This window comes from Homo sapiens, chromosome 11, assembly GCF_000001405.40.
Source record: "Homo sapiens chromosome 11, GRCh38.p14 Primary Assembly".
NCBI classification, from domain to species: domain Eukaryota; kingdom Metazoa; phylum Chordata; class Mammalia; order Primates; family Hominidae; genus Homo; species Homo sapiens.
In genome coordinates, this window is record NC_000011.10 from 32,669,915 (window position 1) to 32,697,735 (window position 27,821).

The following is a 27,821-nucleotide window of genomic DNA, read 5'->3' on the forward strand; positions in this document are numbered from 1 at the left end:
CAACAAACATGGGAGTGCAGATATCTCTTCAATATACTGATTTCTTTTTCTTTGGGTGTATACCCAGCAGTGGGGTTGTCAATTGAGTCTACTTTTTAAAAAAGATACTAATCATATTGGCTTTAAAATAATGTACACCTTTCTTTACACAATAGGGTTTCTAACAGCTTGCTTTAAAGGTGCTTTCTTATGCACTAAGATAAGTTTCAAAGGAAAACCAGCAATAATTCCTTGCAATTTTGATTTTCCTATATTTTTTCCTAAAGCAATATACCCCTGGATGAAATAGATATCCACATGACTTAGAAAGTAAATTATTGGATAGCGGCCAGGCACAGTGGCTCACACCTGTAATCCCAGCACTTTGGGAGGCAGAGGCAGGCGGATTACAAGGTCAGGAGATCGAGACCATCCTGGTTAACACGGTGAAACCCCGTCTCTACTAAAAATACAAAAAATTAGCCCGGCGTGGTGGCCGGTGCCTGTAGTCCCAGCTACTCAGGAGGCTGAGGCAGGAGAATGGCGTGAACCTGGGGGGCGGAGCTTGCAGTGAGCCAAGATTGCACCACTGCACTCCAGCCTGGGCAACAGAGCAAGGCTCTGTCTCAAAAAAAAAAAAAAAAATTATTGATAGCTTGTTTTACACTAGTGATCTGTTCTAGGTTCACTCCTAAAACGCAATGTCCTATTGATAACAGGTATATGGGTAAAACTTATATTTGGATAAAATGGCTTTTAATTCTCTACATAAAGATTGGTTTTCTAAAAGTTTTTTCCTCTTCAAGATTACAAAATGCGACAAATGTCTATGTTTTTCTACATTTTTCAACAATTGAAAACATGGAGCTGTTATAATCAGCTAAGTCTTGTAGGAGATACTCTAAAATGCATCAATTCCTATTACAATTATTGCTATAAGACAATAGGGAGGCGGGGAGGAGAAGGGTATAGAAAATCAGTATATGACTGACAAAAGTAAAAACTAGTAATTTCTTACATCTTTCTTTTTCTTTTATATATTAATTACTTAATCTCAAGAGCATAATAAATTAAAATCAGAGACCTCAGGAAAAGATCTTCCACTGAAAAACATGCTTTTGATTTTATAGACTTTATAAGCCTTTAAATATCCTGAACTTTTAGTACACTGTCTGTTTTCTAACCATTTTATTCAAAGCTATTAGTGCAGCAAATAAACAGCAATGCTTTGATCTCATTAAATTACAACTTATAGTTCCTGCAGTCATAAATATTGCGCTCTTTTCTCCTTCACCCCTCCCTTTCTGGTATGGGGTAGTCTGTTTAATATCACTATCTCCTTGAGTGCTCTGACATTTACTCAGACAAACAGCAGAGGTTATGAATGCTGCTCATAGATAGTATCAGGAATTCTTCATGATTGCCATAATGGTGAACTCAGCATTCAGAATGGTAATACCTAGTTTTTATCTAACCACTAAGTTTGGTCTGTTTAACTTTGCTCCAAAAAAAAAAAAAAAAAAAGAAATTCCATCTTATCACAAACCAATAACAACTGTTCTGGACAAAATCATAGAACAGTATAATAAAAATGGAAATTGTCTTTGGGAGAATTAGTGATTAGAAGTTTTAAATAAGTGATATAACCAATGTTATAAAATTTGATTCTCTTCTGAAAGTTAACAAAAAAACAAGCTTTTCCCAAAGTTAAAAATCAAAGCTACATAAGACACATAAAATTTAAAATTAGTGTACTTAGAATGTCTACAATATTAAAAACTGGCTCTGAATATGTATTTTAAAATTCTCACCCTTTCAGTTACTTGAACTTTGAAGTCGCAAAGGTAATTAAATTTTCTCACTTTACCCTTCTATAACAGTCTGTCTTCCAAGAACAACTTTGCAGCATGAACACTGACACTAATAGTTTCTAGAGTGACAGAGGCCACTACTGCATGACATGTTAGTACATTTAGGTAGCCCTAGCCTAGGCCCCAAGACCTGAGAGAAAGAGGCTAGTGTTCTCATGAGCAACACCATTCTTCTCACGCATAGAAAGACATTCTGCGCCTTCTTACATAAATCCACTAAGGGTATCTCTCCATGAATCTACATGAGCCTCATCTACATCCATAGGTCAGAGTCTTAAATTGTGCATTAGAAATATAATAGGCAGGCCAGGCATGGTGACTCAAACCTGTAATCCCAGAACTTTGGGCGGGCAGATCACTTGAGGTCAGGAGTTTGAGAACAGCCTGGCCAAGACAGTGAAACCCCGTCTCTACTAAAAATACAAAAATTAGCTAGGCATGGTGGTGCATGCCTGTAGTCCCAGCTACTTGGGAGGCTGAGGCAGGAGAATGGCTTGAACCCAGGAGGCAGAGGTTGCAATGAGCCGAGATTGCGCCATTGCATTCCAGCCTGGGCAACAGAGCAAGACTCTGTCGAAAGAAAAAAGAAATATAATAGTCTATTATGTTACAATGAAACATCTGTTTTCATTTAATGCAAAAAATTAGTACAGAATTTATGAGGCATATTTTCATAAGAATGCATAAACTAATTGTATAAAGGCTTATTAATATTTTAATCACCAAATTAATATGAATGTTATTTAATTACTAAAGTCATTGTTAAAAATATTAACACATAAATGAACCAAAGAGACATCAATGAAAATGTGTTTATTCACACCTACTGATTTAATAGTTATTTATATTTGTATTTGAAGTTTATACTGATAGAAATGAGTGGTCCTTTTAATAATTCTTACTTGGGATTCCAAACAGATTTTTTAAATTATAGCTTTTTCTCTTTATATTAAAAAGAGCCACCTCTAATTTTCGAGGATGTATCTAAAAAGAAATGTTTTCTACATATATATTAATTGTACTCTTAAGTAGTTTGCTAAATAGACAGACTTTTAAGGGCCAGAAACATGATTATCACCACCCATCCTAATGTTCTGTACTGAAATACACCTATGCTTTTACTTTCTGATCCCTCAGGTATAAGAATGAAGTCCAAGGAATATATAACCAATTTATTGGCAGTTGTAACAGTGAAGATATACATATCACAGTCAATAGTATTATAATATTAATGGTCTTCAAACTCTGGCTTAGCATTTAGAAGGTACTGCTATCCAAAATATATAAAGAACTCTTAAAACTCAACAATAAGAAAACAAACAACCCAATTAAAAAATGGGCCCAAGGCCTGAACAGACACTTTAACAAAAAATACACACAGATGACAAGTAGGTATATGAAAATATGTTCAACATCATATGTCATTAGGGAATTGCAAATCAAAACAAGATACCACTACACACCAATCAAAATGACCAACATCCAAAACACTGACAACACCAAATGCTAGTGAGGATGTGATAGTGGGAGAGGTTGTGCATGTGTGAGGACAGGAAGTATACAGGAACTCTGTACTTTCTATTCAGTTTTGCTGTGAACCTAAAACTGCTCTAAAAATAGTTTATTAATTAAAATATATTAAATTATATTAAAATAGTGAAAGTCTATGTATATATAAAGGTATAAATGCTTCAATTTTTGGTATTTTTTTCCTTTTAAAAATAGGATCCTTTAGCGTCAAGATGACAACATTGACCCAAATTAGTATTCATTTCATTCATATTCATTTATCCCTTGAGTCCAAAATATACAACTAAAAAATATAGGTGAGGTTTAGAGTGCAATCTTTGACTGTGAAACAACTTTCTCTGTACTGAATCAACTAGCCTATACAAAATTGAATTCCTAACTTTGGCCTCACTAATGTTTTACCCTAAACAAGTGTATGTCAGAATCCCAACGGAAACAGATGGCAAACATCAACTAGGATAACCTGAAGATGGGTTTATTTGCAAAGGTGCACGAAGGATATAAAAGAACCACAAGGGATGGCTCAAGTTCCACTGACTAGCAGCACTGTAGCTGTCACCACCTCTAGACCCAGAAGGTCAAGAAGAGAGGTTACTGGAACCCCAAAAGGGAGAGTATCATGTAGATTACGCCAATTTGAGAGAAGTAGTGATCTGTTGAGGCACATGGCCAGCCTGAAGTTATCTCAGAGGGAAGGAACAGGGGGAATAAATACCCTGATTCACTCTCTTCTTCCTCCCATCTCCTGCCTAGGCTCTCCACTGGCCCAGCTCAACAGGAAGTCAGAAGACGTGGAAGCCCATTGATGCAACCCATATACATAAGCCTTCAAAAGGTAAGTATAGATCTGGAGGGGCAAACAGAAGATTTTTTTGCATGCCAATATAATAAATAACTACAAATTAAGTGCATTTTAAATGGTACTCAGTAAATATTGTTTCAAAATATTTATGGAGTGCCAGTAAGCATAGGTACTTAATTCTCTCAGAGGTAGGGAGGTGGTCCTAAAATGATTCAAAGCAGTATCGAGAGAGGGATTGGAAGGGAGTGGGAAAAGGAAAACAGATATCATTCTCTACAGAAAGAACAAAGCCTTACCTACTTCTTCCTCTTGTACCAACTCTCCCTTTGTGTCAGTTGGAATATTTTTAGTTGCAAATCATGGAAAACTGAATTGGCCCTAACCAACCTGGCTTAAATAATGGGAACTTATTGGTTCACATAATTTAAATGTCTAGAGGTAGGACAAGAAGCAGGGTTGGTTGATCCAGTTACTCAATAATGTCATCAAAGAACAGGTTTCTTTATGTCATACCAATCTGGCATCCACATTGTCAGGTTCCTATTTTTTGGCTTTTCTCAGCCTATTGTAGGCTGACTGCCAGCCACAATAGAGGTTATGTTCTTCCTGGTTTATAATCAGAAGCTAGCTAAAGTCATTTATCTATACCTGAACCAATGCCTATGGTCAGAAGAAAGAAATATGTTTGTGTTCTCCTGCCAATTTGGGGCTCAGCTCTAAAGCTGGAGACATCAAAACAAAAATCTAGATAAGGTTAGGAAGAAGGCAAGCGGATACTGAATCTCAGTAAGCAACAAATAAATGTTCGATTCACAGCTTCATTCATGATGCTCCAGCCATATCAGACTTTTTTTAGTTCCTCAAATATACTAAACTCTTTCCTGTCTCAAAGCTTTTGCACATGCTATTCCCCTTGCCTGAAACATTACTCCCTTCCCTCCTTCACCCTCTTACCCCCAATCTAATAAAGTCACCTGTGATGTCATCACATCTTTCACTTTTTCTTCTGCTCATTTATAATAGTTTTACATTATTTAGTCTGTGTAATTATTTGTTTTACATCTAACTCCACCACCAGACTCTAACTTTCGTAAAAGTAGAAACATGTTTTATTTTCTTCATAGCTGTATCCTTAGTGCCACATAGCACCCAGTATATAAAAGTCACTCAATAAATATTGAATGAATGGTGCTAATAAGGATGACATACAATGAATCCTTATAAGGTATTCATGTGATCATAAAAATGCATGCTACTGGTCACAAGTCAAAGAAATAATATTTTGAATGGATTGCAACAAATGCACTAATTACCTTTACTGGAATCATAACTCAAAATTTATGCATCTGTATTGAAAACAATTTATCCTCTACCAAAAAATTCTACCCAACTGTCCTCTAGTAATAGCGCATAAGACTATTTTATATTATAATTTTTACTTAGTAGTGTGAAACTGTATCAATCATACCTTCTTTAAACTGCATATTTCAGCTTCTTGTTTTTTATTTAAAGCTGAAAGTCTTTTGTTTGATTGTATTGCTTCCCGTACTGCAACATGAAAGACATTTAAGAAAGCATTATATTCAATGTATATTTCAAAGAAAGTATCATTAAGATAAACAGGGAAAACAGTAACAATGCAATATATATGTTATTTAATTTAGGTAACAGTTATTAACTGCCATTTACTATTATCAGTATTATCATAGATATTCAATGTATTCATAGTAAATAAGTCCATTCAAACATTCTCTACTGAATATGTATATTTAAATAAGATAGCACATACCATTTTGTTCTAACTTTTCATGATTCTCTTTTACCAATCCAAATTGACCTGTTATTGTGGCATAATATTTCTCAATTTCACTCAGTTGCTTATGATAGTCTTCTTTAGCCAGAAGATGTAACTGGACCTTTTGTTCCTATTTTGAAGAGTAATTTTAAATGTTATACATATAACACACACACATCGCCACACACAACAAATATGTAAAATATATTGTGGTAAACCACTGTTGTTAGTAATATAACATAAATAAATGTCATTTAAAAGTACTCTCTGAGTAAACTGTAAGGAGGAAATATTTGTTAGGAGATATTTCTAAATCTATGTAAAACTAAAGCAAACATATTTTTCCTGTAGCAAAATAGTCACTTCAGGTTATGTTTCCCTTGTTTGCAATTTCTTTTTCAAAATATTTTTATAAAAAATGTTAATCAGCCTAACACTAAGAAAAGTGAGGAGAAAAAGCAATACTTTTGGTACTTTACGAGGTATTTTTTCTCTAAATCATTTGAATAATCAGGACCTATCTAGATCACTGTTTTGATTCTTTGCCCTTTCAATTTGCTAGAATAATTTCAATGTACACTACCAAAATTCAAGTAATTTTTCTGAGACTGATTTTAATTAATATAGTACCTTCTCACTGCATTAAGAAATGAAATGATGAGGCAGGAAGAATGCTTGAGGCCAGGAGTTTGAGACCAGCCTAGGCAATATAGCAAGACCCCATCTCTACAAAAATAAAACAAGTTATCTGGGCATGGTGGCACATGCCTGTAGTCCTAGCTACTTGGGAAGTTGAGGTGGGAGGATTGCTTGAGGCTAGGAGTTTAAGGCTGCAGTGAGCTATGCTCAGCCGCTGAACTCCAGCCCAGGTGACAAAGCAAGACCCCATCGCTAAAAGAGAAAAAGAAATGAAATGACAAGGATATCTCTCAGTGACAGGGAGGCAACATATGATAGTAGATAGTCTACTTAAACTGGAGACATAATTGGTAAAAATTAGACCTTACTTATATAATATTATATGGGCCTCTACTGCTTTCAGCTAAAGGAACTACTCTTACCATACCTGCGATATGACTTTTAACTCTTAAAAAATATTATGTTAATAAAATCAATAACACTTGTTAGAAGTTTTTTATCTTCACTTGACATTAGCAGAATCATTAATTGGTTTCACAACTTTCATTCATTTTTTTTCCCAACTGCTTCACTTTCTATGATGAGCAGTTCTAAACAAAGAACAGTATAGGCCCATGAACTGGCACTCAATAATTGTTTTCTGAATGAACTGTTGTTGTCTTATAGAGTTTTAATAGTAAAAATTTGATTTTGCCTAGCCAGCATCCATTTCCCTTACCTAACAGCACCACTATTTACTTTATTGAAATACTTTTTCTTCATTACAACATGGACTAAACTTCATTACAACATGGACTAAACATTACAACAGGACTAAAATTCAGGGGTCCTATTCTTCCCTAATTAACAGAAGGGCATATTACTCAAAATAAACCAATTGATAGCTACTTTCTTGGAATTTGAATCTTGAGCAAAAAGACTATCTAAAACTAGAGAAGTTCAGTAGTGATCCTATCTGAACTGATATGAGACCTCTGTTGTGGGTCCCTACATCCTGCCTCACAAACTCTGGAATTACTCTGGGTCCCCTGTTCATTCTCAAGCAATTCTTTATTCTCTGGTTGATTGTGAATGCCTCCCCTAAATTTCCTTTTACATAAGTTAACCAGAGCCATTTCTTATTGCTTAAAACCAAAGTACAGGCCAGGCGCAGTGGCTCACACCTGTAATTCCAGCACTTTGGGAGGATAAGGCGGGTAGATCACAAGGTCAGGAGTTCGTGACCATCCTGACCAACATGGTGAAACCCCGTCTCTACTAAAAATACAAAAATTAGCCGGGCATGGTGATGCGCGCCTGTAATCCCAGCTACTCAGGAGGCTGAGACAGGAGAATCATTTGAACCCAGGAGGCAGAGGTTGCAGTGAACCAAGATCGTGACACTGCACTCCAGCCTAGGCAAACAAAAGAGCAAGATTCCATCTCAAAAAAAAAAAAAAAAAAAAAAAACCCACAACCAAAGTACAGGCCGAGCACAGTGGCTCAGGCCTGTAATCCCAGCACTTTGGGAGGTGGAGGCAGGCAGATCATTTGAAGTCAGGAGTTCGAGACCAGCCTGGCCAACATAGTGAAACCCTGTCTCTACTAAAAATACAAAAATTAGCCAGATGTGGCAGCGGGCACCTGTAATCCCAGCTACCTGGAAGGCTGAGGCAGCAGAATCACTTGAACCCTGGGGGCAAAGGTTGCAGTGAGCTAAGATTGCACCACTGCACTCCAGCCTGGGCACTAGAGTGAGACTCCGTCTCAAAATAAAAAAAGAAAAGAAAAACCAAAGTACAGGTAGTAGAGCACAGTGGTCAAAAGCTAGTCTGCCTATGTTTACATCTTGTTTCTGCAACTTAGGGTGACCTTGGGTAAATTATCTACCCTATTTTTAGGAAGAAGTTTATAATAGTATTTCACTCATAAGGTTGCTGTGAGGATAAAATGAATTAATATAAATAAAGCACTAAAAAGCAAAGCCCATCATATAAAAATCACAATAAAATGATTGTTATTATTCCTTAACTGGTAGTTTTAATTAACTTTTATTTAGAATAAGCATGGCCTTTTAAAAAATATTCACGAAGGGCTGGGTCATGGTGGCTCACGTCTGTAATCCCAGCACTTTGGGAGGCCAAGGTGGACGGATCACAAGGTCAGGAGTTCGAGACCAGCCTGGCCAACATGGTGAAACCTGTCTCTACTAAAAATACAAAAATTAGCCAGGCATGGTGGCACACACCTGTAATCTCGGCTACTGGGGAGGCTGAGGCAGGAGAATCACTTAAATCCAGGAGGCAGAGGTTGCAGTGAGCTGAGATCACGCCACTGCACTCTAGCCTGGGTGACAGAGCAAGGCTCCGTCACAAAAAAAAAAAAAAAATATATATATATACACACACACACAGACACACACACGAAGAACACACATTACAATTTAAGTTGTACCTAACTATATTATCTTGGCAAGTCTGATGACAGTCTTAACTTTTTCAAAGCTATTTTTTAATGATTTTAAACATGATATATTATTGGTAATAATTATGATATATCAGTTGAAAATTTCTCATGTATGTCATCAGGCTTTTAACTACTTATTTAATTGTGCAGCAGTTATCAATGCAAACAAGTTGATAAATGTACTTAGTCCTGGAGAGCTTATGCCTACCTGGGTAGTTACTATTATTAGTAATGGTGAGCAATAATGAACCATATTGCTTTCTTCTAAAATACCCCTTAATTTCTGATTGAGAGAATTATATTAGCTCTCAGCAGATGTCTAGAAACCTAACACAATTTCACTGAAAACTGGGTTAATGGCATTTTTTCAATTCAAGGAAGTTTTTATTTTTTATTTATTTTTTTGGAGATGGAGTCTCTCTCTGTCACCCAGGGTGGAGTGCTGTGGCACGATCTCGGCTCACTGCAACCTCCACCTCCCAGGTTCAGGCAATTCTCCTGCCTCAGCCTCCCGAGTAGCTAGGACTACAGGTGCGCACCACCACACCCAGCTAATTTTTTGTATTTTAATAGAGACGGGGTTTCACTGTGTTGCCCAGGCTGGCCTCGAACTCCTGAACCCAGGCAATCCACCCGCCTTGGCCTCCCAAAGTGCTAGGATTACAGGTGTGAGCCACTGTGCCCGGCCAATTCAAGGAAGTTTTGATTTTTGATTCTAATCAATATTTACGTAGCCTTCATTAGAATACTCTCTACTGCATAATACATGATCCCACAAAAGCTTTCTTAACCTTTCAGCTAAAAAGTGATGAATAAAATAGGTAGTCAATGCCTACAAAGGTTAACAATTCTGTTAACTAAAAATGTAGCAAAGATCAAAGGAGATTTCATGCATAGAGCTTTATATACATTAGAGTAATTTCTGATACACTCTTCCAACATTCTTTGGGGCAAAAATTGAATTTAATGAAAATGCAGTTTCATTGCATTTGTTTGCATGACATAATTCTGATTTTCAAACACATTAGCCTATTCAATGGCCATGATATATAACATTAAGACTTCTAAATCACATAGGCACCTACAGCATATTAGCCCATATATGCCTATATGAACGTAGTTTACTACCCTGATTTAGTTTTGAAAATGAGATGAAGAGGTCCATTGTCCAGTTTGCCACTAATTTCATGACTATCAACAAATGGTTTAAATTCTCTGAAAAGCAACAACAAAAAGTAAGTGGTAATAACACTTTAGAGATGTAAGAATATTTTAAAGAATACAAATAAATTGATTTTTACTATTAAAACTTTAATGTATTATAAGGCTATTTTATTGAGATGATTAAGAAATAGTTAAGTACATATTGTTTGGTTTTTCTATCTGCATGAATCGACTCAAATTATTTTTTCTTTTACGTAGTTTTACTATCAAATGCAAACACAGTCTACAAAAAATGTCAGCATTCATTGCTTCCTAAACACATGTACACCTCATTTTAAACAAATCTAATCTATGAAAGTCAAGATTAGCGGAAAAATAGCATATCCATAATTATATGTATGTGTGTAGTCTAAAAGCTTACTTTAAAGCCTTGAAGCATTTAAAATGGGAATAATGTAAAAATATTTACACACAACTTTTTAGAAATATATTTACTGATAAAATGCACAGCTTCACATTTCTCCCTTTTCCTATTTACTTAAGGAGACTGATTTGAAAACTTCTGGAGATAAAATTAGTTTCCCTTAAAACAATCAGTTTGTTAAGAGTAAACTTTAGAGGAAAAGATAACAATCAAAATATAAATTTAACACACTCATTTACAATTTTGTAACTAATCTTCTAATTTCTTCAATATGAACCCAAACTAAATCAATGGAGTTATAAAACTCAATTTTCAAAAATCTATGGCATCTTTCTTAAGATATCCTTACCTTTTCAGTTGCAAATATGAGGCATAGATTACTTTAAAAACCTAAAGTCATGCTGCTAATATATGTGTGTACATATATACATAATATTTATGATTATGAAGTTACTTCCAGATAAGTCTTCAGTTTAAAAATATTCTACTGGGAAAGAAAGTATGTGGTTATTCTTAATCTATCAAAACTTTCAATATTGAAATTGCTTTAACTTCATAAAGAAAAAGGCTTTCTTGTAAATCTTTTATTTAGAGGAAAATGATATACAGAAGAGAAAAACAATACGACAATGGTTTGATAAGTTTACTTCCTTCATTAAGCTATATTAGCTATTCAGTTTTACAACACAGACACCGATAAATTCAATTATTACCCAACATGGTCATCTATGTAGTAATCACTAAACACAGCAGGAAAAATTTGTATCAATGACCAGATCACAATGATGGTGAATGTAATGTCCTAAGATTTCTCTCTCACATGTTTTTATTGCATCCTTTTAATTGGTAATGATCGTGATTTTTTCAAAGGGGAGGTACTTTTAGGGATGGAAAAATCGTTTGATTTGTGATTATGTTAATTTATCTCAGAACCTATCACCACCTCTAAAAGAAAATCAGCTTACTGAATCACAGAAGACAGAAACTTACTAGTAGTTAAGGACTTACCTATAGGAGCTCATAAACTTGAAATTTTCTTAATAGTATTTTTCAAGTTATTTCTTTTAGGACCCTAACTTTATTGCTCCCCAAAGTCGTGCCTTCACACTAGTGGCTATCTTGTTTCCTGTCTTGCCCATAGAACCAAATAACATAAAAGAATAATGTACTGCTTGGAATAAAATAAGATTAACTGAATTACTGAATACTATACCGCACTTTGAATAAAGAACAAGTCATCTGAATTATATAATAATAATGTAACAGGAATAATGTAAAATGAATATAAGTAAGAATGCTTAGAAAAAGGGGTACTTCTAACTTTTAAATCCAAAATATAAATGTTCTGCCAGAATGAATATAAAATATTAAATATATATACCAACATATAAAACTTTTTAAATTAAAAGTGATGCAATGCTTTAAACTGTCAGAAAAAATATTATGACTATAACTGAAATATCATTTTAGTAAGTATAAATGTTGTAATTCACAATAACAAAAAGCTTAGAAGTGACCAAAAACTAGAATAAGTATATACATGTTTCCATGTTTTTTTTTAAAGATTGTAAGTATCTGTTTGATGAAATTTGAAAGTGGAATAAAATAAAACACATTTTATGTTGCCTTTGATCTTTAACTTGTAGCCTTATCTCCCAGGTCAAAGGGCACATTATTCAATTTCACTATATTTTGTGTAAAACCACTGTAGCGTTGAAGATGACTTTCAGTACAAATGTCATGGTACTTAAAGCTAAACCAGAATCTAGTTTTTCAGCTTCTTAATTAAAATCATGGTTTAAAATAGTCTGACAATATTATTTTTATTCTTTCCAGTTGAATAGCAACAGAATTTTCACATCTTTTATTCAATCAAGCTTAGCAGTCTATGACTCTTATTTTCTAACACACCAAACAATTTCAAGAAGCAAAATACTTTATGTTTTTCTATGTAATGTCAGAAGGGGTGATAGTTCATTTCTTACTTCTCATGTATATAATATATAAGCCTTACTCAAAAATTAATTTTACTTGCTTTACAGTCTGCTCCAAAGAATGAAGACTGAATAGCATAGCCCCACCCAAAAAGCCCTTTGACAATTTGAGTGGATATAGGAAAATTTTGCTCAACCAAAAACACAGAAAAAAAAATCCTTCTGAATAAAATAGAGCTAGAAGGGAAAAATATCAAAGTAAATATTCCCTAAAATGTTATGCTGTAAAAAGCAAAAACATTAGTTTTTAACAGACTATAAAAGAGGAATGCACAGTAAATAAATATTTGTTGAACAATATAGGATCAGTACCATATCCCAAGTGTACACTGATAAGGGATAAATATTATATCCTAAATACTACTTCATACATTTCAATTTTTTCACACTATAATTAATAATTACATGTTTACATAAATATCTAGAAAAGATACCATTAAAATAAGAGGTTTTAGAGTTTTGTTATTTGTTTTTACTATAAGACCCTAACAATAATTTGGGAACTGTGTAAAATTTATTTTAAACATATAGGTTGAATATCTCTAATCAGAAATGCTGGGACCAGAAGTGTTTCATATTTGGGATATTTTGGGATTTTGGAATATTTGCATTATACCTACGGGTTAAGCATCTCAAATGCAAAAATCTAAAGTCCAAAATACTCCAATGAGCATTTTCTTAGAGCATCATGTTGACACTCAAAAAGTTTCCAATTTTGAAGCATTTCAAATTTTGAGTTTTCAGATTTGGGATGCTCAACCTGTATAAGTACTATGTAATCTCGAAATAAATTTGTGAAATAATTCATTTATGCAACATGTGAAATTGCAAATATCCCCTTTCATATTACTGGAGACAGTAATATTCAGTTTCAACAATTAATTTTTTCACTATAAATGTCACATTTTATTCCCAAAAACACCAATCCCCCTAAGTACTAATCCAGATGGGGGAAAATATGTTTTGTAATTTCCTTACCATTTCACTCACTTTCTTCTGTAAAGAGTATTTAGAAACCTTGAAAAATAAGGGGGAAAAATCTCATTAAAATACTTTAATTATCTACACAAATTCCTCTGATATCAAAAGTGCGTGCTATAAAATGTGGCATGTATCTTCTATGTACCATTATTGATTTATTCAACACACATTTATGGCACCTACTATATGCTAGATACTTTCCTAGACTCCTGGAATATAGCAGTGAACAAAACAAAGTCCCTGCCCTTAAGAAACTTACTTTCTAGTGGGGGTGGTGATAGACTGACAAATATAAGTAAAAGGTATGCATGTTAGAGAGTGATAACCACTAAGACAAAAATAAAGCAAGAGAGATAGAGAGAGCAGTCTAGGGGAGTTTGTTACTTCATATTAGCCCTTCACTGAGGAAAAGTTTTTAAAGAACAAGCATAACAACTGTTTTAAACAAACAGATCATCTCACAATCCACAGATAACAGTCATTAACACTTTGGTACTACCAGGTTTTGTTTGTTTGTTTGTTTGTTTTTAAGATACAGTCACACTGTTACCCAAGCTGGAATACACTAGGATGATCACAGCTCACTGCAGCATTAACTTCCTGGGCTCAAGCAATCCTCCTGCTACCTCAGCCTCCTAAGTAGCTGGGTACTATAGGAACATGCCACCACACCTGGCTAATTTTTAAAATTTTTTCTAGAGACAGGGTCCCACTATGTTGCCCAAGCTGGTCTTGAACTCCTGGGCTCAAGAGATCCTCCAGCCTTGCCCTCTTATAGTGCTGAGATTACAGGTGTAAGCCACCATGCCCCACTCTACCAGGTTTTTAAAAACATACATTTATACTTTAAAAAAGAGCCAGTAGAAACTGATAATAAACGTCTATTTTATAATCCATTTTACTTAATATATAATAAACACTTTTCTGTGACAAATTAATGTACAATATAGCTTTTTAATGGCTACACAGTATTCCATTTTTTAACTTTACCATAACTTACCTAATCACTCATGTTTATAGGTTTACTGAATTGAGTCTTTTACTATTATGAAATATTCTGAAATAAACATGCTTGTATCTAGACTTTTAAAGTTATTCTTTTTATTAGGATAAGTTCCAAGAAGCAGAATTTCTAAGATTTGTTAATTTTTATAGGCTTTTTTAAACTGTTACAAAAGCCAGGCCTGTAATTCCAGCACTTTAGGAGGCTGAGGCTGTTGGATTGCTTGAGTCCAGGAGTTCAAAACCAACCTGGGCAACATGGTGAAAGTCTGAAAACAAACAAGCGAAACTTAGCTGGGTACGCTGGTGTGTGCCTGTGATCCCAGCTACTCGGGAGGCTGAGGCCAGGATGACTGCTTGAGCCCGGGGGGTGGAGGTTGCAGTGAATTGAGACTGCGCCAGTGCACTCCAGCCTGAGTGACAGAATGAGACTCTGTCAAAAAAAATATATATATATAGTGGCTGACCAAGTTAAATGCCAACCAGCCATGTATGAGTGTTCATCTTCTTAAATCCTACTTATATTTTTTAAACTTTAAGCAAAAGTACAATAATTACTACACATTTCCTATGAAATAAATTTTTTAGCCTACTGCCATGAATGAGCTGATTTTATTTTATTTTATTTTAATGGATGGGTTGTATATGATTTATTTCTTCCATAAATGTTGAATGCTTATTGTAAGTAAAGCATTGATATAGACATTGGGGGTACAACACTGGACCAAAAAAAAAAAAAAAAAAAAACTCCTGCCCAGCTTAAATTCTGGGCAAGAAAATCAGCAATATAAGTTAAAATATATAGTATATTAGATATTGATAGGTGTTAAAGAAAAACGATAAATCAGGGAAGACGATTACACAGGACAGTCAGGAAACTCCTTTCTGAGATAGCAAATTCTGAGTAAAGACCTGGATAGAAGTAAGAAAGAATATTTCAGCAAGTTCCCTAATGTGGAATAAGGCCTAGTGTGTTTAAAGAATAGCAAGGAAGTCCATGTGGCTGAAAGACAATAAGCAAGGTGAAGAAGAGCAGTTCAGAGAGGGGCAAGGGAAGGCAAGGGGACCCAAATCATTGTAGACCTCGTTATGTGTGATATGGATTTGGTTTTTACAACTAATGAGATGGAAAGCCACTACAGAGTTCTGAGGACGAATGTGACAAAGCCTGACTTAGCTTTTTTTTTTTTTTTTTTTTTTGAGATGGAGTCTTGCTCTGTCACCAGGTTGGAGTGCAGTGGTGCGATCTCAGCTCACTGCAACCTCTGCCTCCCAGGTTCAAGCAATTCTCCTGCCTCAGCCTCCCGAGTAGCTGGGACTACAGGTGTGTGCCACCACGCCTGGCTAATTTTTATATTTTTAGTAGAGACAGGGTTTCACCATGTTAGCCAGGATGGTCTCGATCTCTTGACCTCGTGATCTGCCTGCCTCAGCCTCCCAAAGTGCTGGGATTAGAGGCGTGAGCCACCGCGCCAGGCCCTGACTTAGCTTTTTAAAGACTCACTCTATTACATTCACATTAGAAGGGAACAGAGTTTGTGGCAAGAGAAACCACTTAATAAGCTACTGCAATAATCCAGATGAAAGAGGATGATGAAGGAGGACTAGGGTGTTAGTAGTGGATGAAATAAGAAGTGGTTGGATGCTAGATACACTCTGAGGGAAAGCCAAAAAAAAAAAAAAAAAAAAAACCAGTAACTGGAAAAAGAGAGTTGTCATTAACAAGGATGGAAAAGATTAAATAAGCCAGTTTTCAGGAGGCAGGATTTTAGAAACTTAATTTTAAACATGTCAAGTTTGAGGTGTCTTTTAGAGATCCAAGCAGAGATGGCAAATAGTTAATGTAGGATGGATTAGGGGTTAGGAGATGTACATTTAGAAGTCTTCTGTATGTAGATACCATTTTAAAGACACGAGCCTGGATGAGATCAGAGTACTTTTTAAGGCATTCAGCACAAAAGCAAAGGGAAATGTTTTGAGGTCATCTAGAAAAATAAGAGGAAAAAAATGAAAAGACAAAATTCAGAAGACAATGTATTACTCTAATCCTGAATTTATTATCTGCTACCATCAGTCAAAGATAAAACTACATCTAGAGCAAATTTACCACATTATTTCAGGCCACCGTTCTTCACACACCTTATTATCTCTGCATTTTATTCTTTCTCAATTACAATCCACAGCTATATTTTATCAATACCTCTAGAGCATTGCCCAACTAATAAACTCCCACATAGCTGCATTTCTGACACATAGATGAATTTGAAAATATAATTGGATTGACATGTAGTGTTTTTATAGTTGCTATATTTAATATTTTAATTATTTAAAAATTGGTTAATATCACATATAGGCATACTTCTAATATCAGAACAAAACTATACTGATGCTAATGCATTAACTATAGAAGGCAGCTTCAAAAATAAAATGCAAATGTTTTCCTATTATAGTTATCCTTCACTTTATGGAAAATTATAAGAAAAGCTGACTGAAAAGCACACCGCTTTAGAGAAAAAAATCTTATTTTCCCATTAATTTTCCATTTATTGAATTTATTTTAGTTGGGAATAAAGTCCCCCAAATACTGTGCTTAAAACATTTAACCCCTTCCTCTTCTTAAACAGTTCAGCTCTGAAGTCCATTAGGTTAGGTACAATAAGGTATGTGAGGAAGTGGTGAGGGGGTTGTGTCTAGAGCATTCCGGAACAGAATAACAGGCCTGAATGGAGAAAAGAGGATTTTCCCATGTAAGGGAGGGCAGTCTACTGTGGGGAGTCAGAAACTAAGTAAGGTGAGGAGGGTGACCCTGCAAAAGGGCAACCCAGCTGAAGGTGTCAGAATCCAAGCAGGAAAAGGAGGACATCCACATAAGGAAAGAGGGGGCAGCAGAATGGTGGACTGGTTATGTAACAGGGTGTTTTATGAAATAAGTCAACGTCTTAGTGATAATGAAAGTCAGATTTCTCATTGAAAGATAAGAAAAGTATAAATAAAGGAAATAAACTAAAATAATCCTTGTAGTTTGGGATTGTAATTTGCAGCAGTGCAAATTAATGGTTTTCAATATACATACATAGATTGATATAAAAATACATATAACTGTAAGTATATGTGTGTATGTGTATATGTATGTAAATATATACATATATTTCCTAGCTCTGTCGACTGAGGGGGTGTGAGAACAATGACACTCCAACAGCAATAATTGCAATAGCACTCAGATCTTGGTTTCTATATACCTTTTTCTACTAACAGGAACCAGGGTAACATGGAGAAATGGTTTTTTCCAGGGCAAGATCAGGTAAAGTATGAGGTGATCCTGGTACATTTTATTTTTATCTGAAAGCAGAAAAATGCTGAAAGAATGATGAAGACATGTCAAAAAATACTCAGCAACCAGCTTGAATGGACTCCCACTGGCCAAACCAAGAATAATTTGATAAAAATAAATGATAGTCAAATATTTTAATCCATTGTACAAAACAGGAAACTATGAGTCTATATTGATATAAATAAATATATTAAAAGTTTGGTGAGAAATGACATATTTACATAGTTTCAAAGTTCTCTTCACAAAACACGCTGATTACAAAGGAGAAAAGATTAACTTTACAGTGGAGAAACTTGTCAGATACTACCTCAGTCAAATTATCAGAGTGAACATCGCCAATAATAAAACAAATTGAACTATCTGATAGGATTCAATAAGAAGAATATGGCATTACCTCTGTGATATTCCTTCCAGAGATACATAAACTGAATCTAACCATGAGGAAACATTGTACAAACAGAAACTGAGGAACGTTCTACAAAATAATGGTCTGTAATCTTCAAGAGTGTCAAAGTTATAAAATTCAACCAAAGACTAGGAAAGTCTTCCAGACTGAAAGAGATTAAAGAGCTATGACAACTAAATACAAACATAGGATTCTAAACTAGATCCTTTTGTTATAAAAATACTTTAATGGGACAATTTGTGAAACTGAATGAGTCCTGAACATTCCAGTTATGTACCAATGTTAACTTCCTGATTTTGATTGCTGTGTTATGGTTTTACAGGAGAATGTCCCTGATTGTAAGAATGATATACTATGGTAATGAGATGATAGAGCATCAGTTTGGCAAATTATTCTAAAATCATTCAGGAAAATAAGTTCTTTGTATTGTAGTTCCAATATCTCTAAAAGTTTATGATACTTTCAAAAGAAAAAAACTTAAGTGATTCTTAAAAACATTGTGGAATGAACTAATATGAAATGTTTGAAAAATATATAGCATCAATAAAAAAAAGTTAACATACAGCTGAAGTTCAAAAGAAAGATAAGGAAATTGTCAGACATCAAAAATAAGACAGAAAACCCATAGTCAGAGTTGTAAGTATGCAAGGTGATGCTTTGGTAATCCAGAAACCCCTACATACAGATATAGGCTGTCATGGCAAAGTCAGGGTTTTAATATCCATGTGGGCACAAAGCCAAGGGATCTAGCACACTGGTATAGAGAAAGGAATCTAGAAGAACAGCTAATTCCAAGAAAGGAAGACTAGAAGAACTTAACCTACCAACACAAAAAAATGTCTTTGCCTAGATCACTGGTCCAAAACCAAAAATTATTCCATGAGAAACAGAAAAACCTAAACTTGGAGTACAAAAGGGTATAAAGTCCTAATAATAATATATACTCCCTGCATGGTATGTACATCCTAGATGATAAATTAAGGTAACAACCAGAAACTGTTCTGTGAAACCCTTGAGGCTCAGAACAGAAGCAAATGCAAAAGAGCTCTGTAGGAAGAATTCCACAAGTTCATCAGAAAAATACAGCCTCCACTAAAGAGGGGCTCACAATTTAAAATGTATGAACCACATTAAAAAGGAAGATTTACAATGAAGGAGCATTAGCTGGTAGCCACTGCAAACAGGAAGACTTGTACACACCAATAATTAAAAATAACAGAAGAATCTCAAAGATATTATTAAAAATATTTTAATGATTAGAGACATAAAAGATAAATAAGAAATATGAAAAAATATAAGACACTAGAAAAAGGCAGATTTTTAAAAGCACCAAATAGAACATCTATAAAAGAAAAAGGTCATTATAAATAAAAAACTTAAAACATAAGTTATATGGCAGATAAAACATAGTTGAAGAATTAGTGAACTAAAAGATATATCTAAGAAAATTACTCACGGCTGTAATCCCAGCACTTTGGGAGGCTGAGGTGGGCAGATCACAAGGTCAGGAGATCGAGACCATCCTGGCTAGCATGGTGAAACCCCGTCTCTACTAAAAATACAAAAAATTAGCCGGGAGTGGTGGCGGGCGCCTGTGGTCCAAGCTGCTCAGGAGGCCGAGGCAGGAGAATGGCATGAACCCGGGAGGCGGAGCTTGCAGTGAACCAAGATCGCGCCACTGCACTCCAGCCTGGATGACAGAGCAAGACTCCATCTCAAAAAGAAAGAAAATTACATAAGATGCTCACAGGCATAAAGAAATAGAAAGTATATAAGGTATAAAGACATGGAGGATAAATGAGAAGATTCAAAATATATCTTCTTAGGAGTTTGAAAGGAGAAAATATAAAGACTCGTTGGGGAAGGTAATACTTGAAGTGATAATGACTTAAATTGTTCCCAAAAAATATATTAATTTTCACGTCACAAAATAACTCTTAAATTATAAGAAAAGAAAACACACAAATATTTTAGTAATAAAAATTATTGTAATTCAATTTAGAAAGCTGTAGGACTGAGAATGATTTTTAAAAGAATTTTTTAGAGAAGATTTAGGTTCACAGCAAAATCCAGAGGAAGGTAAAGAGATATACCATATACTCCCTGCCCCACACATACATAACCCCCAATTATTAACATCCCCCACCAGAGGGGTACTGATATGGTTTGGCTCTGTGTCCCCACCCAAATCTCATGTCAAATTGTAATCCCCACGTTGTTGGAGGAGGGGCCTGGTGGGAGGTGACTGGATAATGGGGGCAGTTTCTAATGGTTAGCACCGTCCCCCTAGTGCTGCCTCATGACGGAATTCTCATGAGATCTGGTTGTTTAAAAGTGTGTAGCACTTTCCCCCTTAGCAGTCTCTGTCTCCTGCTCTGCCATGGTAAGACATGCTTACTTCCCCGCCCGCCATGATTTTAAGTTTCCTGAGGCCTCCCAGTCAAGCTTCCTATACAGCCTGCAGAACTGTAAGTTAATTAAACCTCTTTTGTTCATAAATTACCCAGTCTCAGGTAGCTCTTTATAGCAATGTGAGGATGGACTAATACAGGTACATTTGTTACAATTAATGAACCTACACTGACATCGTTATCACCCAAAGTTCACAGCTTACATTGGAATTCACTCTTGGTATTGTACATTCTATGGGTTTGGACAAGTATATGACATGTGTCCACCATTAGACTATCATACAGAGTATTTTTACTGCCCTAAAAAACTTCTGTACTCTGTCTTTTTATCTCTCCCTCCTTCAACCCCTGGCAACCACTTTTTTTTTTTTTTCAAGACCAGTCTCACTCTTGTCCCCCAGGCTGGAGTGCAATGGTGTGATCTCGGCTCACTGCAACCTCCACCTCCCAGCTTCAAGCGATTCTCCTGCCTCAGCCTCCCAAGTAGTTGGGGCTACAGGCACCTGCCACCACACCCCATCAAATTTTTGTATTTTTAGTACAGATGGGGTTTCACCATGTTGGTCAGGCTGGTCTCGAACTCCTGACCTCTGGTGATCTGCCTGCCTCAGCCTCCCAAAGTGCTGAGATTACAGGTGTGAGCCACTGTGCCTGGCCTCAACCACTTATTTTTTTACTGCCTCCATCATTTTGCCTTTCCCAGAATGTCATATAGTTGGTGAGTAGTGTATCTTTGTTGTTTTAATTTGTATTTCCCTGATGACACATGATGTGGCACATCTTTTCATAAACTTATATGCCATCTGTATGTATATCTTCTTTGGTGAGATGTCTGTTAAGATCTTTGGCCCATTTTAAAATCAGATTGTTTTCTTATTGTTCAGTTTTAAGAGGTCTTTGTTATTTTGGATAGCCGTCCTTTGTCAGAGGTGTCTTTTGCAAATGTTTTCTCCTACTCTGTGGCTTGTCTTTTCATTCTCTTGACAAGCCACAGAGTAGCTAAAGTTTTTAATTTTAATGAAGTCCAGCTTATTAACTCTTTCAGAAATCATGCTTTTCGTGTTGTATCAAAAAAGTCAGCCGGGCACAGTGGCTCACGCCTGTAATCCTAGCACTTTGGGAGGCCGAGGTGGGCGGATCACGAGGTTAGGAGATGGAGACCATCCTGGCTAACATGGTGAAACCCTGTCTCTACTAAAAATACAAAAAATTAGCTGGGCGTGGTGGCAGGTGCCTGTAGTCCCAGCTACTTGGGAGGCTGAGGCAGGAGAATGGCGTGAACCCAGGAGGTGGAGCTTGCAGTGAGCCAAGATAGCGCCACTGCACTCCAGCCTGGGCAACAGAGCAAGACTCCGTCTCACAAAAAAAAAAAAAAAAAAAAAAGCCATCAGCAAACCCATGGTCATCTAGATTTTCTCCTACGTTTTCTTCTAGGAGTTTTTTAGCTTTGTGTTTTACATTTTGGTCTGTGATCCATTTTGAGTTAAATTTTGTGTAAATCTGTGTCTAGATTCATTTTTTTCATATGGATATCTAGCTGTTCCTGCACCATTTGTTGAGAAGGATGCATTTTTCACCTTCTCAACTTTCAGAACTTTGCTTTTTTATTACATTTCCTTCTATCTTTCTCCAGACTATAAAATTACCCAAATATCTAAGAATTCCTCATGCATAAATGTATAAACTCAAAGCTCCAGAAATCTAATTTCCTTTTGTCCATGTGATTAGGTATGGCCTAATAAAATTAGGCTTCAAAACTAGAAATAACATGTTATATATTAAATATCGCTTTGGTTCTATAAGAGGAATTAATATAATATATAAAATTAAGTAAGTTTAAATTTAATGAAATAAAGTAATAAAATAGAGCTTTGGAGCTGAACATCTTAGAGATCATCTATCCCATTACTCCCAATCTGGGTTTTACGACATCTACCTATCCTCTCTTTATTCATGCCTCTTCTGAGAGCGTGAATGAAACTCTCTCCTCCACTTCCTCACTTCTATTATCCAGGGTAGAGAATGCAGACACTGTTTTACAAAATGGTCTTGTTTGGGAAATACTAATGGAATTCAATTTCTTCATTTTACCTAAAGGAAAACTGAAGCTGAGAAAGAAAGCGTCTTACCACAGGACTATGTAATAAGTCATTAATAGAAATAGTTTACTTAAAATCTACAGGACAATCAGCAAAGTATCTTTATTAAGCCCTCTAAGCATACTGTTTTCATAAGTAAAGTTTTATTTGTCAGGTAATTTAGATGTAAGAAGGTTGCCCTGCTCCAAGCCCATCCCTTTGAAATGAACTAACAAGGTACTATGTTTAAATAGAAATGGAACACATTGAAAGAATTCACTAAAGCTAAATTAGTTGGTCTTTTTGGAATATGGTTTTTGTGTTCTGTGTTGGAATTCAGTAAGTAGAGTCTCTTGACTATGAGCTCCATAAGAGAGGGCACTATCTGGTTTCTTATTCCTGTGCCTAGCACATACCAGAGTATGATCTTATGAAAGGAAAAAGGGAGAAAGAGAAGTAAGTAACTAGCAAACTAAAGGAGGGAGGGAAGTTGCTACACGGTGGTTAACAGGTTTCCTTGCCTAGTGGATTTATATCAGATCCTTAACTGAACAGAAATTTTATTTAAGTTTCAACTTGGGGGGTTGGGAGAAATCACAAGTATCTTCATTGCTCTACTCTATTCATGTATCATGTTCAGCAGACCATGAGGTATCCTATACATCTACCTGTACTATGTTCTGGGTTGAATAAGGCAAAATAAATCCTTATGCCTCTTGCATAGAAAGTCAGCCATATGAAGGAATTTCTTTTGCTTTGAAAATACTCTCTATAGGGAATCATCCCTAACTCATTTTATGAGGCCAGCATCATCCTGATACCAAAGCCTGGCAAAGACACAACAAAAAGAGGGAATTTTAGACGAATATCCCTGATGAACATCGATGCAAAAATCCTCAATAAAATACTGGCAAACCAAATCCAGCAGCACATCAAAAAGCTATCCACCACGAACAAGTCGGCTTCATCCCTGGGATGCAAGGCTGGTTCAACATATGCAAATCAATAAACGTAATCCATCACATAAACAGAACCAATGACAAAAACCACATGATTATCTCAATAGATGCAGAAAAGGCCTGTGACAAAATTCAACAGCCCTTCATGCTAAAAACTCTCAATAAACTAGGTATTGATGGAACGCATCTCAAAATAATAAAAGCTATTTATGACAAACCCACAGCCAATATCATACTGAATGGGCAAAAACTGGAAGCATTCCCTTTGAAAACTGGCACAAGACAGGGATGCCCTCTTTCACCATTCCTATTCAACATAGTGTTAGAAGTTCTGGCCAGGGCAATCAGGCAAGAGAAAGAAATAAAGGGTATTCAATTAGGAAAAGAGGAAGTCAAATTGTCCCTGTTTCCAGATGACATGATTGTGTACTTAGAAAACCCCATCGTCTCAGCCCAAAATCTCCTTAAGCTGATAAGCAACTTCAGCAAAGTCTCAGGATACAAAATCAATGTGCAAAAATCACAAGCATTCCTATACACCAATAACAGACAAACAGAGAGCCAAATCATGAGTGAACTCCCATTCACAATTGCTACAAAAGACAATAAAATACCTAGGAATCCAATTTACAAGGGATGTGAAGGACCTCTTCCAGGAGAACTACAAACCACTGTTCAACGAAATAAAAGAGGACACAAACAAATGGAAGAACATTCCATGCTCTTCCTTCCTGGGGGAGGAATAGCATTAGGAGAAATACCCAATTTACATGATGAGTTAATGGGTGCAGCAAACCAATGTGGCACACGTTTACCTGTGTAACAAACCTGCACATTGTGCACATGTACCTTAGAACTTAAAGTATAATTAAAAAAACAATTAAAAATATACTTTCTATATTGTCCAGATAATTAAATACGTATGAATGACAACAAAACAATTTAAGAAGGAATGTTAAAAGAACAAAGTACTTAAGCAAGATGAACAAATTCTCTTACTGACAACCTTTTAGTAGGAAAAAAATGTAGTATTTTTCAAGATACACCAAGAAAAAAAATTAGGCAAAAGATATAAGTATGTCCAGTTCAAGAGACTGTAAAAAAAAATTAGGTGCCTCATGTCACTAAGGCCATGACTGGATTTAATGTCAGAAGTCATTCTACAAAGTGGTGTGCCGCAGTGTGTCCAGAGGCTAGAGAACCGTGAAAGGGGGCTACCAAGGCTGGGAAGATGCAACTGTTGCCGTAAGTGACTTTCAAAGACCCTGATGCCTTGTGGTACCCTTCTGAAACTCAAACAGTAACACAGAAGTGTTCTGTTTTAGAATTTATGGTGTATAATGTTTTTAAAAGAGCTTGCTGTCCGGGTGTGGTGGCTCACGCCTGTAATCCCAGCACTTTGGGAAGCCAAGGTGGGTGGATCACTAGAGGTTAGGAGTTCAAGACCAGCCTGGCCAACGTGGCAAAACCCCGTCTCTCCTAAAAATACAAAAATTAGCTTGGCATGGTGGCATGCGCCTGTAATCCCAGCTACACAGGAGGGTGAGGCAGGAGAATCGCTTGAACCCAGGAGGTAGAAGTTGCAATGAGCCGAGATCGCGCCACTGCACTCCAGCCTGGGCAACACAGTGAGACTCCATCTCAAAAAAAAAAAAAAAGAGCTTGCCTACAGCTGGTTTCCACACCTGAACTGTTGTGCTTGGCAAGTTGCATAGCTGGAAATTAAATGTTCAATCCTACCTTGGCTCCAATTTAACATTTGGTGCTCTGTGGAGTGAGTTGAATGTGTTGAGGCTTTGCAGTTTCACTTGTGGTAAAGACGTTAGCATTTTCCATTTCTATGCAGATTTCTTTGAAGCAGAATTGATTGCCTCTTTCTTCTCTGCCTTCACAGTAGGTAGAGTTTCTTTCAAACTTCACTGAGGCATCAGTTGCTCTTTGGCAATGTCCCTTACCGTGATTATTAACTATAAGTGTGTGGCTTCAGTTTAAAAATTTTCGTTGTTTGTTGCATTGATGTTCCCATGTAGTAATTTTTAGTTTGGTTGTAAAAAAAAAAAAAAAAAGACCCTGGGCTGAAGTAAGCGTTTAAGTTTTTTTTTTGTTTTTGTTTTTTTTTAACTAGTCCTAGATTTAAAAACATAAGAAAATTGAAACTTGAAAAAATGAAAAGAAAACAGAGGAGTTTTTACATGAGCTACAATGGTCATTTCTGTTTTCTCAATTATAAAATTTTATTTTTAATTTTTCCAAATCGTAAGAAAAAATGTTTAGCTACTAGTATCATTTTAACCTGGATATGTGAGGTATGGTTAGAATCACTAAATTTTATACCTATGTAAACTTCAAATAGTAAACTTGGACCTTTATTTCTTGTTTCATCAGCTTGAAAGATTATTGCTGGATTATCAACCTCAACTTCTTGCTACATCATTATTTTTGTATTAACAAACTTAATAACATTTTAAGTCTTATTTGGTAACCATAATTAAGTTTTCCATGCTTCATTTATAGGTTAATTCTAAAAATGGAAACCAACAGTGTTTACATTATTACAATCAATATAGGTATCATTTAATGCATGAGTCTAACAGGGTACTAATACAACATTTCCTTCTATATAGGTCCAGTGTGCTACTTGAATAACTATTTTATTATGATCAGGACCTAAGTATCTTCTTTTTTTTAATTATGGTCAAGACCTAAATATCTTTTTTTTGAGACAGGGTCTCAATCTGTTACCCAGGCTGGAGTGCAGTGGCACAATCACAGCTCAATGCAGCCTCAACCTTCTGGGTTCAAGTGATTCTCCTACCTCAGCCTCCTGTGTAGCCTGGAGCTACAGGCGTGCACCACCATATCTGGCTAATTTTTGCATATATATTTTTTTTGTACAGACGCGGTTTTGCCACGTTGCCCAGGCTGGTCTTGAACTCCTGGGCTCAAGCAATCCATCCGCCCAAAATGCTGGGATTACAGGCATGAGCCACCATGCCCGGCCTCTTCTCTTCTTACACTCCATCAATTGCTCAGAACCATCCCAAATTTTAACTTGCTTTATATCTTTCTCATACAGTTATGTTTTCCCTAGAGTTTCTGATCACTACTTTTTTGTTGATAAAAAACACAAGGATTTTTTTTTTTTTTTTGAAACAGTGTAGTGGCCTGATCATGGCTCACAGCAGCCTCGACCTTGTGGGCTCAAGCAATTCTTCCACCTCAGCCTCCTGAGTAGCTAAGACTACAGGTGCTCACCACCACACCCAGCTAATTTTTTTTTTCAGTTTTTTATAGAGACAGGATCTCCCTATGTTGCCCAGGCTGGTCTCGAACTCATGGGTTTACACAATCCTCCAGTCTCAGCCTCCCAAAGTGCTGGGACTACAAGCGTGAGCCACCACACCTAGCTTAGGATGTATGTTAACATTTTTCCATACTTTCCTTTGTGTTTATACATACACATACTTTTTGTTTTTTCTGAACTATCTGAAAGTAAGTTGCAGCTAATAGGTGATTTCACCCTAAATACTTCATCATACATTTTCTAAGAATAAGAACTTTCTTTTATATGATCATAATATTATACCTATGATATTATTATACCTAGTATAATAATTCAATAACATAAGCTAATATATGGTCATATTCAAATATCCCAATTGTCCTCTCCAATTTTTTATGGCTGGTTTTATTCTTGACCCAGGATCCAATGAAAGTTCACATATTACAGCACTTGGTTGTTATATCTCTTTATTCTTTTTTTTTTTTTTTTTTTTGAGATGGAGTCTTGCTCTGTCACCCAGGCTGGAGTACAGTGACGTAATCTCCGCTCACTGCAACCTCTGCCTCCCAGATTTAAGCGATTCTCCTGCCTCAGCCTCCTGAGCAGCTGGGACTAGAGGCGCCTGCCACCATGCGTGGCTAATTTTTGTATTTTTAGTAGAGACGGGGTTTCACCATGTTGGCCAGGCTGGTCTCCAACTCCTGACTTTGAGTGATCTGCTACCTTG

At 36.0% G+C, this 27,821-nt stretch overlaps 1 protein-coding gene across 4 annotated transcripts in view; it reads right to left on the reverse strand.

Annotated features, from left to right (window-relative positions):
• The window catches only part of CCDC73 (coiled-coil domain containing 73), a 227,865-nt gene that overhangs the window by 67,194 nt on the left and 132,850 nt on the right, over window positions 1-27,821 (reverse strand). For all 4 annotated transcript variants that reach the window (XM_047427029.1, NM_001008391.4, XM_047427030.1 and 1 more), the window contains 3 exons: window positions 13,622-13,660; window positions 5,972-6,107; window positions 5,651-5,730 (listed from right to left, as the gene is read on the reverse strand). In XM_047427029.1, the coding sequence (XP_047282985.1) occupies window positions 5,651-5,730; window positions 5,972-6,107; window positions 13,622-13,660 (255 nt within the window). The remainder of the gene's footprint in view (window positions 1-5,650; window positions 5,731-5,971; window positions 6,108-13,621; window positions 13,661-27,821) is intronic.